Raw genomic sequence first — 14,637 nt, 5'->3', positions numbered from 1 at the left:
TTTGTTTCATTTTAAGCCTTTCTTTTCTTTTTTTTTTTTTGGAGACAGAGTCTCACTCTTGTCACCCAGGCTGGAGTGCTTTGGCATGATCTCAGCTCACTGCAACCTCTGCCCCCTGGGCTCTAGTGATTCTCATGTCTCAGCCAACCAGGTAGCTGGGATTACAGGTGCACGCCACCACGCTCGGCACATTTTTATATTTTTAGTAGAGACAGGGTTTTGTCATGTTGGCCAGGCTGGTCTCAAACGCCTGGCCTCAAGTGATCCACCCACCTAGGCCTCCCAAAGTGCTGGGATTACAGGTGTGAGCCACAGCACCTGGCCAGCCTATGTGACTTTTAAATTATGCTTACATAATACTTCCATAAAATCATGATTATTTTGATTCATTTTACTTTAGTAAAATACACCCTAAAATTTTGTCCTTTTAGAAGGGAAGGTAGGAAAGAGTGGGATAGAGTAAATGGGCTGAAGTAGGGAGAGGGAGAGGGAAAGAAGAAAGGAAAAGCAAAAAAGAAACGACATAGACTATAAAACATCTTAGAAAGCAGTTTTCTTAAAATGCTGTTAATTAAATGTAAAAGAGGTAATCAAAGTAATTTAACCTGATTGCTAATTACTGTCTCTGGAATGAGTTAATTGTTGTAATATATTTGTAAATAAGGAATAAGTATCAGTGAAATATAGCTTAATTACTTAGACTGTATTTCTTCATTCACTCCCCCATTACCACTCCCATTCAGCCGACTTCATCTACTGCATAACACCCACAACTCTCCCCTAGCCAATCATCTTGCCTCTAATCCCAGCTCAAGTTAATTCCTCAGAAGATGATATTATTATAATGGCACTTCCAGCTCAAGAACTTGCAACAGTCCATCGCCTAGGTTTAAAGCTGTACCTGCTTCTCACATCTAATAACTTTCCAGGACAAATCCTCTGCTCAAGTCACTAATGTCTCCTTCTTGCACTATCAATCTCCCTGACGTTACCTGCTAAAGTACCACCCCTATGGTTCATGCTGATGGGTAATCCCACAAATTTTTCTATTTACTGCTCAGCCACCCAAATTCTCCCCATCTGTCATAGTCCAGCTCAAGTCATATCACCTCTAAAATGCCCTCTCTGAAAATTCCACAGCACGCATATTTAGCCCTTCTCTAATTATTCTCATAATGAGGCAGGAGACCAGCAGGACATCTTTCCCAGTCCCAACAGGATGAAATGAAGAAACTGGCCAGAGCCAGCAAATGGTGCTGAAGGCAATATGTAGTTGCCCTTGCTGTTCATCAGCATAAGACATTCCCATCAGTGCCATGACAGTTTACAAATGAAATGTCAACATCTGTATGTTGACAAGCTACCTGGTTACATAGCTATAACCAGGGAATTGACCCCAACTTTCTGGTTGACTATCAAAAGCACCCTCTGAAGTCTTATCTGGCTTTTACCTTTCCTGGGACCTTTGATACCTAACTTGTTACTGTTAATTTTTGTCCCTTGCTTGTTTAACCTCTCACTATAGTTTGTGTCTTCCAGATGGTAAAGTTTCCATATAAAGAAGATGCTGGCACCAGACTTCCAACTCATCCCATCTTCTGACCCAGGAAATAAAGACATCTTGCCTTTAGGCCCCTTAGATCAGGCATCCAGAGATGTTTGCTCTTCCAACACTAAGCAGAGTCCATGCCCATAAGATCAGCAGGAAACAGTAACAGAAGAGAGACCTCTGCCCTTTGCAACTCCCTTAAACTTAAGGAGGAGTGTATATTCTCTGAGGGGTGAATGAGGTAGATTAGTAGGACTTCTTTCTTGGTCCTGACAGGATAAAATGAAGAAAACAGCCAGAAGTGGCAAATTGCTCTGAAAGCAATTTCTAGTTTCCCTGATGTGTATCAGCATAAGACACTCCCACCAGCACCATGAGAGTTTACAAATGCCACGGCAACACCTGGAAGTTGCTGTTTCTTTTCTAGAGAATTCTGAATAACCCATCCCTTAATTTGCACAGAATTAAAAATGGGTATAATTATTGTTGGCCAACAGCCTATACACAGCCTATACTTTGGGCACACTGCCTATGGGTTAGCCCTGCTCTGCAAGAAGTAGTCACTCTGCTGTACGCTGCTGCTGCTTCAATGGACATGCTTTCTTCCACCACTGACTCACTCTTGAATTGTTTCCTGAGTGAAGCCAAGAATCCTCCCAGACTAAGCCCCAATTTTGGTGCTCATCTGCCCTGCATCATCAGCAGTGTCTTTATCTCACAATTAGCAAATATTAAATACTTAAGTATGTACCTAATCATTGCCTATTTTATTTTTTACTGCCTATTTTGTTTTCCTGTAGTTGGAAAGAGTTGTGTAGGAAGAAACATACTGAATTCTACATTTCACAATGATAAAAATCATAAATGGAGCCAAGTTAATGCTTTTTGATTAACTGCTTTTAAAAAAATGTTTCATAGCATCCAGTGTATTTTCATGCACATACTACACACTTAGAATATGTTGAATGATTGATTAACCCACGTTCAATTTATTCAATATGTGTTACTTATAAAGCTATCAAATTCCTTGACTATTAACCTTCATGTTATTTAACCATCACCTTTCATCTTTCTGACACCTGTGCTTTTAGCATATATCAAGCTATGTTGTCACACATTCCAATTTTCTAATTTAGAAGAACATAAATTGGAATGTAAAAATTTTTAGAAACGTCATTCAGATATATGGCAATCAAAAAAATCTGTTAACAGAATTTGTGAGAAAATTCTCTTGATAACTCATATCTCACTTCATTCCCAATTAAAATTAAATTGAATGTGAAGTGTGGCATAATAGGTATTGAGAGAAAGGGGCTTCAGAAAAGGTTTCTTTGAAATTAATGTTACCTGAATTTTAATATTTCAGGGATAAATATTCAGTTTAAGAGTTTGGAGTTAAAGAAGAGCAACATGGTAAGAGGAAATAATGTGAGAAAAGCTCTGTTTCTACTGGATGCAAAACCTTACTTCCAGTAGATCTAATATGTTCCAAACAGGAACTGTGCCATCCCTGTTTTGAGGAGCGTTTTAATTCTCCCCTTCTACCTCCATATGGCAAAAGGTACATAGTTGCGCAGTAGCTATTAAGATAAGAAAATCCTACTGAATCTTATATAGATAAATTTAAAAATACCTATCATTAGGAAAACTCACATGTAAAGTTCTTAGTCTCCAAGGCAACAGGTTGTCAAGAGTCACATTGTATCATTGGGAAAATGCTTTGTCCTAATGCAAATCAACTGCTTTTGTCCCAGTCCCTGGAAATCTGCATAGCTTTATTAAAGGAAAACAGAAGTCAAATAGGGCATGTTAGCATGAAGTGAGGTAAATTTATGCCCCATTGTAGAGACAATAAAAAACTATTAAAGTTCTTCTTGTCAACAAGCCAGCTTCTAATGTAGTGTGTAAAATTCGTAAGAAGTCTTCCGGCTAGTAGTATAGTTGACTGTTATAGCCTTCATAGCACAGTTTTGTTTTATCCCACTTGCTTTGAAAGTTTTTTAACAATTACCTTTAGTAACTTAAAGAGAAAACTTGGCACAGAGAATTTGTTAAAATGTACATTAAGGCTGCCTGCCAAAGTAATATTATAGAACAGGTGCTGTCAGAATGAGGAGGTGGAAGCAAAAGAAGGAAACCAACAGAGAGAATAAGCACAGGAAATGACCCCAAAACAAGGGAGTCTCTGCTGCATACAGTTACCACCACCTGGCCCAGCAAGAAGCTAGCCAGAAGCCAGCCCTTCACTGACGCCTAGCTCACAGATGTTTACACATCCTACTGGCAGACCTGGCCTCATCTGCTTTTTTTCCCCCTCTTACTAGAATAAATTCTATTTTGTGAACTTTTGGTTCAACACTTCCCAGTTCTATTACTTGCTTCTGCCACTTTTGTACTCCTCCATTAGTCTTTTTAATATTTGACCATTCTTACCCTGTATTTTAACTGATAGCAAGATAGATAAATGCCCATTGTTTCAAAACATCAGGCAGCTTTTTTTTTTTTTTTTTTTTTTTTTTTTTTCCAGAACTTCCTAATTCTCTCTTGGCAAAATGTTACAATTACCCTGTGGACAACAGGGCAATCATCAGTAACTCTGAGGTTGACAGATGCTCTATGTCTCTTGGCATCTTTGTTCATGTTTTCTTTATTGCTTGAATATTCTATATAGCTAGGTTTTTAATTTTTAAAGAAATTTTCATTTTGGAAAACAATGCTTTAAGTGACCTACCAAAATTATTGGATTTATTGAAACTATTAGTTTGTGATCCTTAGACCAATTTAAAAAAATGAGAGCTGATATACTATTCTGTGCCTTGGATGAGTATTGACGGTCCTTTCAGAATTTGATGTGGCCACAACAAAAATAAATTCGCAGAAATGTTCTACTGCTTTCAAGGACAAATCTGTCAGTAAGGTGACCATAAGATAGCACATTTTAAAGAAATAACGCCAGAAAGGCAGGTCATAAGTAAGTCTCTAGAATGAAGAACTTAACAAAGGCAAGAAAGACAGAATCCACACTGGGTTAAACTAAACCAAAAGTGTCCACACTATAAAATGATATATACTATTAAAATAAATAATTTTGTGATTTGTGAATTATAGTACCATAATTTTTAAAGGCTCCTCATTGAACAATTTATTATAAAACAAATCAAATTTATCTCCTTGGTACATTATCTTCTAATATATGATTAATTTAATGATAGCTATCATTTCATCTCTGTGTGTGTAAAAGAAAGCTTTTGTAATGTATTTGAGTATATATTTTCTAGAGTTAAATAAATATTGGACATACTGGTTATTGCTTTTGCTGAAAATTATTGTCTTTACTTAGTCTTAGTTTTATTCAATTCTTTAGTTTGTTTACATAGATTTTACTGACACATATTATTAGATTGTTTATTTGAAAAATTGCATTTTATGTTGATTTTCTTTGATGAAGACTGCAAACAAAAAGGTATCTAAGACAGATCTCAATAAATTTAGAAGTTTGTTTTGCCAAGGTTAAGGACATGGCTGTGACACAACCTCAAAAGGTCATGAGCCCAACGTAGTCAGGCTCCAGCTTGGTTTCATACATTTTAGGGAGACATAAGGCATCAATCAATGTATCTAAGATGTACATTGGTGCAGTCCATAAAGGCAGGACAACTCAAAATGGGCCCTTCCATGTCAAAGATGGATTCAAAGATTTCCTGATTGGTAATTGGTTGAAAGAGTTTATCCAAAGACCTGGAATCAATAGAAGGGAAGGTCTGGATTAAGATAAGGGGTTATAGAGACCAAGGTTTTTATTATGCAGATGAAGCCTCCAGGTAGCAGGCTTCAGAGAGAATAGATTGTAAATGCTTCTTATCCAACTTAAAAAAATGCCAGAATCTTAGTTAATTCTCTCCTCGTTCAGGAAAGACACCTAGAAAGGGAAGGTCTTTTTTCCTTTCCCCTTCTGTCCCATTAGGGACAGCTTTGCAGAGTCATTTCAAAATATGTCAAGTAAATTTATTTTGGGTAAAATACTTCAATTTCTTTTAGGACCAGCTGTCATGTTGGTATCTTATTGCTACAAAGAGTCTGCATTGTCAGTCTCGAGTTCTCTGCTTGAATGTTAAATGCTGGCCAGCTGTGCCTAAATTCCAAAACCTGGATAATATAATGAGGCAGGTCCAACCTCCACTTCCCATCCTGGCTGGAACTAATTTTTACGGTTAACTTAGGAATGCCGTGGGCCAACAGGAGGGGCCCATTCAATTGGCTGGGGACTTAGAATTTTATTTTTGGTTTACAAGACTCTCATTGTGAATCTAAAAGTAAAAAGGAGATGTGGAAAGGAATTTTGCCATTTGTGACAACTGATCAGTGATAAAAAGAGTATATAGTTATAAATAGTCAACCTCTGAGGGAGCCTCTGCTGGGGCAACCTATCAATTTTCTAGATGTCTACATTTAACTGTATCATTCCACACTATAAATACTAAGAGCCTCTGTGTAAAGTACTGCAATAGATCCTGGGGAATCAAGGAAATTAGACCAGGTTCTTGCTCACAAAGCTCTTATATTCTAGGAAATATATTCCATTTATATAGCTGTGAAAGAGGAAGAATAGGCTGCTTTCCTAGTTATTAAACATGGTCAGATGGCTCTGTGAGAATATCACCAGCCTGACTTTGTACAATATTATATGAATCTTTCCAGTTTAACTGCCACTGTACATGATTATATCTGAATTCTTAAATATGGCTTATGAGGACATTCACAATCTGTCCCTTTCTGCAAAATTTAATTATTCTTCCACATTCTACTGCCATATCACTCCCTGAGTAGCCATACCTAGCCTGGCTTAGGTGCCCACATCATTTCTCGTACTGTATTCCATGCTGTCGCTATTGTTCCACTTATCACACTATGTTGTACTTGTATGTTTTCCTGACTCTCACTAGACTTTAAACTCCTCAAGAGTAGGTACATATTCTTCGCAATCATGTCTTCAATGTAAACTACCTGGCACTTAATAGTGCTCAATAAATATTTGTTGAATGAATGAACTGCTTAAAACGCTATTTCAAAGAGAAATAGAATATTGTTAATTGGTCCATTCCATGATCTTTCAAGTCAACGGTAGCAAGCTAAATAATCACAAATGATAGCATGATCTATAATTAATTATACTGATTAAAATCTCTTACAGTATAATTATATGAAGATTTGCTTCCCTTTAATTTAATATCCATAATAAAAAACAATTGCTAGCAATTTCTAATTAGTTGTCTTTTTTCCAAATCCATATTAATTTAGGATTCAAACACCCTTGTGATACATTTCTACAATACATAGAATTGCTTAGCAAAGCATATGGCTCAGTGTAAGTCTTCAATAACATTAGTATGATGGCAGTAGTGTTGGTGGACTGGTTTATAGTGATGGCAACAATGAATGTGTATCATTGATATTACATATAAATCATATGACTTATTTATTCAAGATAAATTTAGACACTTGTTCAGTTCTTTCAAAATACAGGAAGAACTTTGCCATGTCTTATTTACAAGTAATATTGTTATTTGCATTATTGTTAAATTAAGCATAATAACAAACCATTGTATTGGGGAAGAGAATGTGAAATATTATTATAAAATTTTACAATGTTTTGTAATGGAAACAATTCCCCCAGGTGACAAAATATGTATGTAAACAATTGACATCTGGATGCTATTTTACAAAAACAGCAGTTACAGAGAGAAAGGGTTTTCATTTTCTCTAACACTTCAAACAGCTTTACAAATATTTATAAAAGGTCACCAATAGAGGGCTTACCTAGGGTTGAATAAAAGACGCCCTAAGACATCAAAAGCTATTTTGAACGTCCAGCTGGGAGATCTAAAACAGAGAGTAGCAAAGACAGTTTGTGACAAAGCTGACACACAGTATTCTAAAAGGAGTGAAATCAATTGTGACTTTTTTCATTTATTTGTAAATGCCTCTTTGGCAGTACACTCACTCAAAACGACAGTTGCTTCTTACAGAATAGGGGAGGTGATGGCAAAATAGAGGAATCTTGACAGTTGCTTTAATGAGATTCTGCATTAGGGCTATTCTAACACTTTCACCCAACAAGAAGGTTGCCCTTCATTTTCAATATCGTATCTCAGTAATTTGGAAAATGTTATCTCTATGAAAAACTAAACTAGCCAGTCCTGAATAGCCATGGCCCAGTTTATTTTCCCCTTATCTTTCAATCAGTAGAAAACATTCTAAATCAAGTATCTAAATAAATGTCAGCTGTTCAGACCAATTATCTGTTCTCAATAAGAATGCTGTTTTTATTAAAAACAGTAATATGGAGTGTCAGAACAACTCAAGACATACATACTAGAAACTCAGTATTTGCTTGAAACTATCTGGGAGTATACTTTAAGCTGCATTTTAAAAATGTTTTTATTTTTATATTTGATGTTCCTAAGGAATAGCAAATTGTTGGCAAGGTAAAATTTCATTAGTCTTTGTAATATGAGCAACTACAAACTATCACAATCTAAATATTGAATTCATTTTTTCATTCAATCGTTCTTTGATCAGATGTTAAGTGTTTGGTGCAACTGCAAATCAACTGCTGTAAACCTACTTCTTAAAGAAAGAAAAAAAAAGTAAATTATAATGTAGAGGGAAAATGCAATCCAATCCAGAGCCTAGCCCAGCACCTATCAGCTATAAGTCAACCAATAGGTATTTGTTGAACTGATAAACTCAACAAATTATATATGGCAATGTAACCCACAGCATTATGGGCATATACAGATCCCAGAGAAATGAACTAATAAGAGACACTGGAGGAATAATGAACTCTCTGGGTTCCAATTTCCTTATCTGTAAAGTAATATTTACTTTATAAGAGTGTCATGAGGATAAAATAAAAGTTGGGGCAGGAATAAATCACCTAGTACGGCTCCCGGTTCATAGCAAATTGTCAATAAATAGTAGCTATTATAAAGCTTTGCTTTAGCCAAAACAAATGATATTTCTCAAATACAATAACAAAATTACTAACAACAGTAGAATGAGGGAACCCTGTCTGTTAGGATAATACTATTAGCTTTGGTTCTGTCTCTTCCACTAAGAGCCACTTTGCAAATCAGTTTTTCTCACAAAAATGGGACTAATACTGTATTCCTATATTTACATAAAACTAGAACTCAGGTTGACCATAAAAGTCATCTGGGTACTTTAAGTACCCTACTGTCATACATTGTTGTAATAAGTACCATGAATATGGCAGTGAGCACCATTTCAGTCTGGCAAATTAACTGTGGTCTAAGATCTTGTGTTGGAAATTCTGCCCTGCTAGTCAATGGTTAATTTTCAGGTAATGTTCAGTAGAGCTCATAAACAAAACTGCTTGAGAAGCTAAATGTGTGCAGATTGATGAAGGTTTTTGTCTCTTTATTCTATTTTTAATTTACCTAGAGCAGTAGCTCTCAAACTTACATATTAAAATTACCAGAAGGATGTGTTTATTGCCAATAGCTATAGTGTAACTCCAGACCAGTTAAATCAATATATTTTTTAACATTCCTCAGATGATTCTAATGTGCAGCTAAGATTGAGAACCACTGGCCTAAAGTCTGATACAATTTTTCTCCAAAAAACACTGTCGGCTTCCCAAACAAATCACTTTTTTTCTCTTCTTTACAAGACCGATTCACCTTCCATGTCTTTTTTCTTTCCAAGCAACTCTGGAGAGGGTGACTGTATGCACAGGTTTAAGACGATCCTGATTAGACTCAAACATAATGGCGCCATTACTTTTGCCAGGGATTGATTTAGGGGTATATATGTTAGCCATAGCTAGCCAGTCAGATGGTAGGAAAGGTGTTCTTGGGGCTTCTAAGTTTTCCACCCTTCTGAAAAAATCCTTTGTTTCCTGTTGTTGTATACAGATGTGATGGCTAGGACTGCTCTGGACATCTTGGGAGCAGGGAGGAAGTTAGTCTAAGGCCAAAGCCAACATCGTGAGGATGGCAGAGAAGAATGATAGAAACAGAATCTGTGATAATGTCATTCAGCTGCTCAAATAATTTGCCCAATATCTGGAATTATGTAAAATAAATTCAGGTAACATCAAAGCATTTTGAATTTAAATAGCATTCCAAACAAATGAAAAAATGGACTAGATCCCAAGACTAACTTTAGGTTAAACATTTTTTTTGTTTATATTGTGAAATATTTATGAATTAAACCATCTGGTAAAAATGTGTTACTTTTCCTTAGATATTAAACAATGTCCTAGTTTTATTTAAATGGTTTCATAGCACATTTTACTAAGAAATATTGTGTAGTATGTACACAGACATAAGAAATGTAATAGTAGATTCTGCCCTTTAAATACTTTTTTGTAAGTACTAATTTGTTCCAATTTTTATATACACATAATGTGCAATATTAAAATATATTTTCTACCTCCCACATATATAAATATGTGCATTTGCTTTTTAAAAAATTATTGTCATGTTTATAAAGTAGAGAAAAATGAGTTTTTTAATATCCAACCACAACAATTGCATGACTTCCTAATAATCTTGTTTTTAATTGATTCTATAGATAGCTTGCATTTCTTGCCAGTTGTATGTCTTATTCTCAAATGTCAAGACTACAGTTTTGTTTCTGAAATGTCCTCTCTTTTCTTTAAGCAATACTTTCCTGGACCAGGAAATAATGAGGATACTTTGGAATGATGCTTTATTGTCAACTACACAGTTGGAATGAGATTAATCAGAATTTTGCTGTAAGATCTATTATGGAGCTTTAAGTGACATACACTGTAATCGCTATGCTCCAATTAGACACTTTAAATCTGTGGGTTTTTTTTTTTTTTTCCAACTAATTTCCTTTGTGTTGCTTCTTCCTCTCTCCACCTCCTCTGTGGTTCCTGTATTGTTTATTTAACAATAAGAATAATTTCAGAAATATTCACCAGCATTTTTGTGGAGAAGAAGACTAGACTACCCTTGCTGGATGGGATTTGTTAGGTGAGTCAGAGAGCAACATGTATTAGGAGCTGTAGCTTTTGAGAGCCAATAGAGATTAACAGAGAAGAGAAAACAGGAGTTGAGGCTGATAAGAGGGCTCAATGGTATGATCTCTTTTCCTATGTTAGGAATAATGCTCAAAATTCCCAAGGAAATTGAACACTCGAACAAAGGATTCTTAGCAAACAATTTTACTTCTATGCAGAGGGGTGCCTCCTTGGCCAGTCGCCATGAGAGCACACCTGAACAAGGGGGCACGAGAGCCTTTATTCCTGACGCAAGTCCTGCCCCTGTACCCCTTCCCCATTGGCTGGGGTTGGGTCATACAACCTAAACTAATCCCGGTTGGCTAAACATTTGCTTTTTTTAGATAAGGTGGGCACGTAAAAGAAAGTGGAGAGGAAAGGGTAAGGGGTGTCTGTAATGAGCTAGAAAGTTAGTCCTCTTTCCAAATAAGGAAAGGAATGTGAGCTGGTACTGATTATACCTGGTACTGTGGCATGCCTGGCATCTAACAAAGGCAAAAAGGAGAAAAGGAGAAAAGGAGGGGGGTACTATGAATTAAAGAATAAAAGATTGATCAGGTTATTTAAAGAGAAACCTCATCATATCCCACAGCCATGACCCTCCAAATCCTCAATAAATATATAACTTAATGTGATAGATTTCCTGCAAAAGTCAACAGGGGATACAGTTTGGTGAAGTTGAGAAGTGAGTAGAAAGGCTGAAGCTAAGAACGTTCAGTAAAGAAAAGGATGCTGAAAAAAAGAAACGTGGAAATTCTTAGAGCACATTCCATCCAGAATAGATCAGGTAGTGAAACAGGGGCTCAACCGAATTTTCCTTCAGTGTAGCTTGGGAAACCAGTTATATTTTTTTCTCCCTCACTATTCTATAAGCACCCAAGAACAGTACTCTTTGAACAGTACTCTGAGTTCCATATAGGATTCAATGATTAAATTTGACTCCAGTAGGACAGTTCCTCCTAAAAGGGCCTTTGTCCCTCTTACTCCTAAATTTAGGCAATTTCCATACCCTCCCCCTTTCCTTCTCTACTCAAATATTTATAAGACTGACCTCTCAATAGTGATAAGAACTTGGCAGAGCTAGAAATCTCATGGCCTGAGTTTGGTTTGGCATCATCTCCTTATTTCGGGATCACTTACTGCTTTTATGTTATAGTAATGGATCTTCACACTCTAAAAAAATAGTTACAGGTGCTCATGTCTGTCTCAGTCCTCCTCACCCAAGGACAGGGATCTGACTTCATCTCTACATCCCTTCCCCTTCTCCTTCCCCCAGAAACTGAAAAGGACCTTCACAAAGTAGAGACTTAATAAATGTCTGATGCATTGAACACAATTATAAATGAAGTACCTATTTTTTGCTCTGTTTATATTTATACTAAAACTGTACTTGCAATGATTTCATCTACCTTTTGGAGCATCAAAGTACAATCACTGGGGTCAGATATTTTATTTCATTAGTCTAAATCAATACTGATTTAAATAAATCTAGGAATTTTTATGAGGACTTTAATATTTTGAAATGTATTTCTACAGACAAGTCCTTATTTCTTGTAAATCTCATTTTGTTCACAGAAATATGAGATGTCTTATGAACCACTGGTATTTCTATTGTAAATATTAAGGAATGTTGCATTACAATGCAGACAGGTAATCCGTAGGCCCAGCAGAGAAATAATGATTAACACACACTAGAGGGAGTATACATTTTAATAGACTCACTCATAAAATCCATGTTTCAAATGTTACAAAACAGAATCGAGTTTACCAAAAAGCAAATAAATCATCTTACTTTGGGGTTTCTTCTTTCATTTCTGATTTTTAAATAATAAACATCATTTCCCCAGAGCAGGTAAACTACACTTACCTGTAAATGAATGATAGAAAGTTCGAAAATCCTCACAAAAGATTGACTCTCAGTGAACTTTGCTCCTGATAAATTCTACCCACAATGTTTATTCAAATTTAGTTTTAAAAAGAGAAAGCAGACTTTGGAGAGATGGCCTTTACGTGGATTTTATTTGCTGATGATAATGATGATGCACAGTGCCTCTTCACAAGATTACATGAGTTAAAAGGTAATCCCACTATCACTCTTGCACCGATGAGTGCTCTACTTGAGTGCTGATCTCAATTTTTGACTCCAAGCTAAGACAGAACCAAAAGAATAAAAAAAAAAATGCAGAGCCATGGAAATAATGACTAAAAGGACTAAAAATGAGCAAATGTGAAAGAAAATGTGATAAAAGTTGATTAAAAATAAAAGAAATAGAAACATACACCATGCATAGAAACACGGGGCCAAATAAATGAAAATGTCAGTATCAATAACTAGGCTTTTTAATTACACTAAATTTGGGCTAACTAGATGATGTTCATTATAGCTTGTATATTTGTCCTAATGCTTTAAGACTGTATTTGTCTTCTTCAGAAGTCATATGAACTGTAGGTCAGTGTGCTTTACCTCAATAAATTGCTTCAACAAATTTGTTCATAGTTTCACAAAATAAACTGATCATACAAGAGATGAATTATTGTTCCTTTCAATATTTTAAGTCACACTTCCTACTTTCTGTGTGTGTAGGTTTTTCGTTTTGTTTTGAGATGGAGTCTCCTTTGTCACCCAGTGATATAGTTTGGCTGTGTCCCCACCCATATCTCAACTTGAATTCCCACGTGTTGTGGGAGGGACCCGGTGGGGGGTAAGTATTCACCCATTCAGTGGGTGAATAAGTCTCATGAGATCTGATGGTTTTAAAATTGGGAGTTTCCCTACACAAGCTCTCTTCTCTTATCTGCTGCCATATGAGACATGCCTTTCACCTTCTGCTGTGATTGTGAGGCCTCCCCAGCCAGGTGGAACTGTAAGTCCAATAAACCTCTTTCTTTTGTAAATTGCCCAGTCTCGAGTATGTCTTTATCAGCAGCATGAAAACGGACTAACACAGTAAATTCGTACTAGCAGAGTGGGGTGCTGCTGAAAAGATATCCGAAAATGTGGAAGCGGTTGGAACAGTTTGCAGGGTTCAGAAGAAGATAGGAAAATTTGGGAAAGTTGGGAGCTCCCTAGAGACTTGAATGGCTTTGACCAAAATGCTGATAATGATATAGACAATGAAATCCAGGCTAAGGTGTTCTCAGATGGAGAAGAGGAACTTGTTGGGAACTGGAGCAAAGGTGACTCTTCGTATGTTTTAGCAAAGAGACTGGTGCATTTTGCCTCTATCCTAGAGATTTGTGGAACTTTGAACTTGAGAGAGATAATTTAGAGTATCTGGTAGAAGAAATTTCTAGGCAGCAAAGCACTGAAGAGGTGACTTGTGTGTTGTTAAAGGCATTCTGTTTTAAAAGAGAAACAAACCATAAAAGTATGGAACATTTGCAGCCTGACAATGCGATAGAAAAGAAAATCCCACTTTCTGAGAAGAAATTCAAGCCGGCTGCAGAAATTTGTGTTAAGTAATGAGGAACCAAATGTTAATCACCAAGACAATGGGGAAAATGTCTCCAAGGCAGGTCAGAGACCTTTGCAGCAGACCTTCCCATCACAGGCCTGGAAGTTGGGGAAGAAAAAGTGGTTTTGTGAGCCGGGCCCAGGGTCTCTGTGCTGTGTGCAGTTTAGGGATTTGATGCCGTGTCCCTGCTGCTCTAGCCGTGGCTGAAAGGGGCCAACATAGAGCCTGGGTTGTGGCTTCAGAGGGTGCAAGCTTCAAGCCTTGGCAGCTTCCACATGGTGTCAGCCTGCCAGTGCACAGAGGTCAAGAACTGCAGTGTGGGAACCTCAGCCTAGATTTCAAAGGATGTATGAAAATGCCTGGATGTTCGAAAATGCCTGGATGTTCAGGCAGAGTTTGCTGCAGGGGCAGGGCTCTCATGGAGAACCTCTGCTAGGGCAGTGCTAAAGGGAAACGTGCGGTCAGAACCCCCACACAGAGTCCCCACAGGGGCACCACCTAGTGGAGCTGTGAGAAGAGGGCCACCATCCTCCAGACCTCAGAATGGTAGATCCACTGACAGCTTGCACACTGCACTGGAA

The 14,637-nt window shown here is 36.9% G+C and overlaps 1 protein-coding gene across 11 annotated transcripts in view, besides 2 other annotated features; it reads right to left on the bottom strand.

Moving 5' to 3' along the window:
* The window catches only part of NAALADL2 (N-acetylated alpha-linked acidic dipeptidase like 2), a 1,369,567-nt gene that overhangs the window by 1,266,499 nt on the left and 88,431 nt on the right, over positions 1-14,637 (bottom strand). For 3 of the 11 annotated variants that reach the window (XM_047447876.1, XM_017006075.3, XM_017006073.2), the window contains exon 2: positions 7,367-7,429. The exons of 5 other annotated variants lie outside the window; for them this stretch is intronic. The gene's annotated coding sequence lies outside the window, so the exon portion shown is untranslated. Of the gene's footprint in view, positions 1-3,202; positions 3,323-7,366; positions 7,430-12,468; positions 12,750-14,637 lie in introns of all 11 variants that reach the window. 3 more of the 11 variants (XM_017006074.3, XM_017006071.2, XM_017006077.3) reach the window with 2 other exon arrangements.
* Positions 3,091-3,605: an enhancer, noted in NCBI's record as "OCT4-NANOG-H3K27ac hESC enhancer chr3:174258235-174258749 (GRCh37/hg19 assembly coordinates)". NCBI's record gives its function as "activates a minimal SCP1, AML or CMV promoter by ChIP-STARR-seq in naive H9 embryonic stem cells {active_cell/tissue: H9 hESC(naive)}" and the evidence as "EXISTENCE:reporter gene assay evidence [ECO:0000049][PMID:30033119]".
* Positions 4,951-5,898: an enhancer, noted in NCBI's record as "NANOG hESC enhancer chr3:174255942-174256889 (GRCh37/hg19 assembly coordinates)". NCBI's record gives its function as "activates a minimal SCP1, AML or CMV promoter by ChIP-STARR-seq in primed H9 embryonic stem cells {active_cell/tissue: H9 hESC(primed)}" and the evidence as "EXISTENCE:reporter gene assay evidence [ECO:0000049][PMID:30033119]".

This window comes from Homo sapiens, chromosome 3, assembly GCF_000001405.40.
Source record: "Homo sapiens chromosome 3, GRCh38.p14 Primary Assembly".
Lineage (NCBI taxonomy): Eukaryota > Metazoa > Chordata > Mammalia > Primates > Hominidae > Homo > Homo sapiens.
Note: the sequence above shows the minus strand (reverse complement) of the source record. Positions and strands in the feature narration are given on the sequence as shown.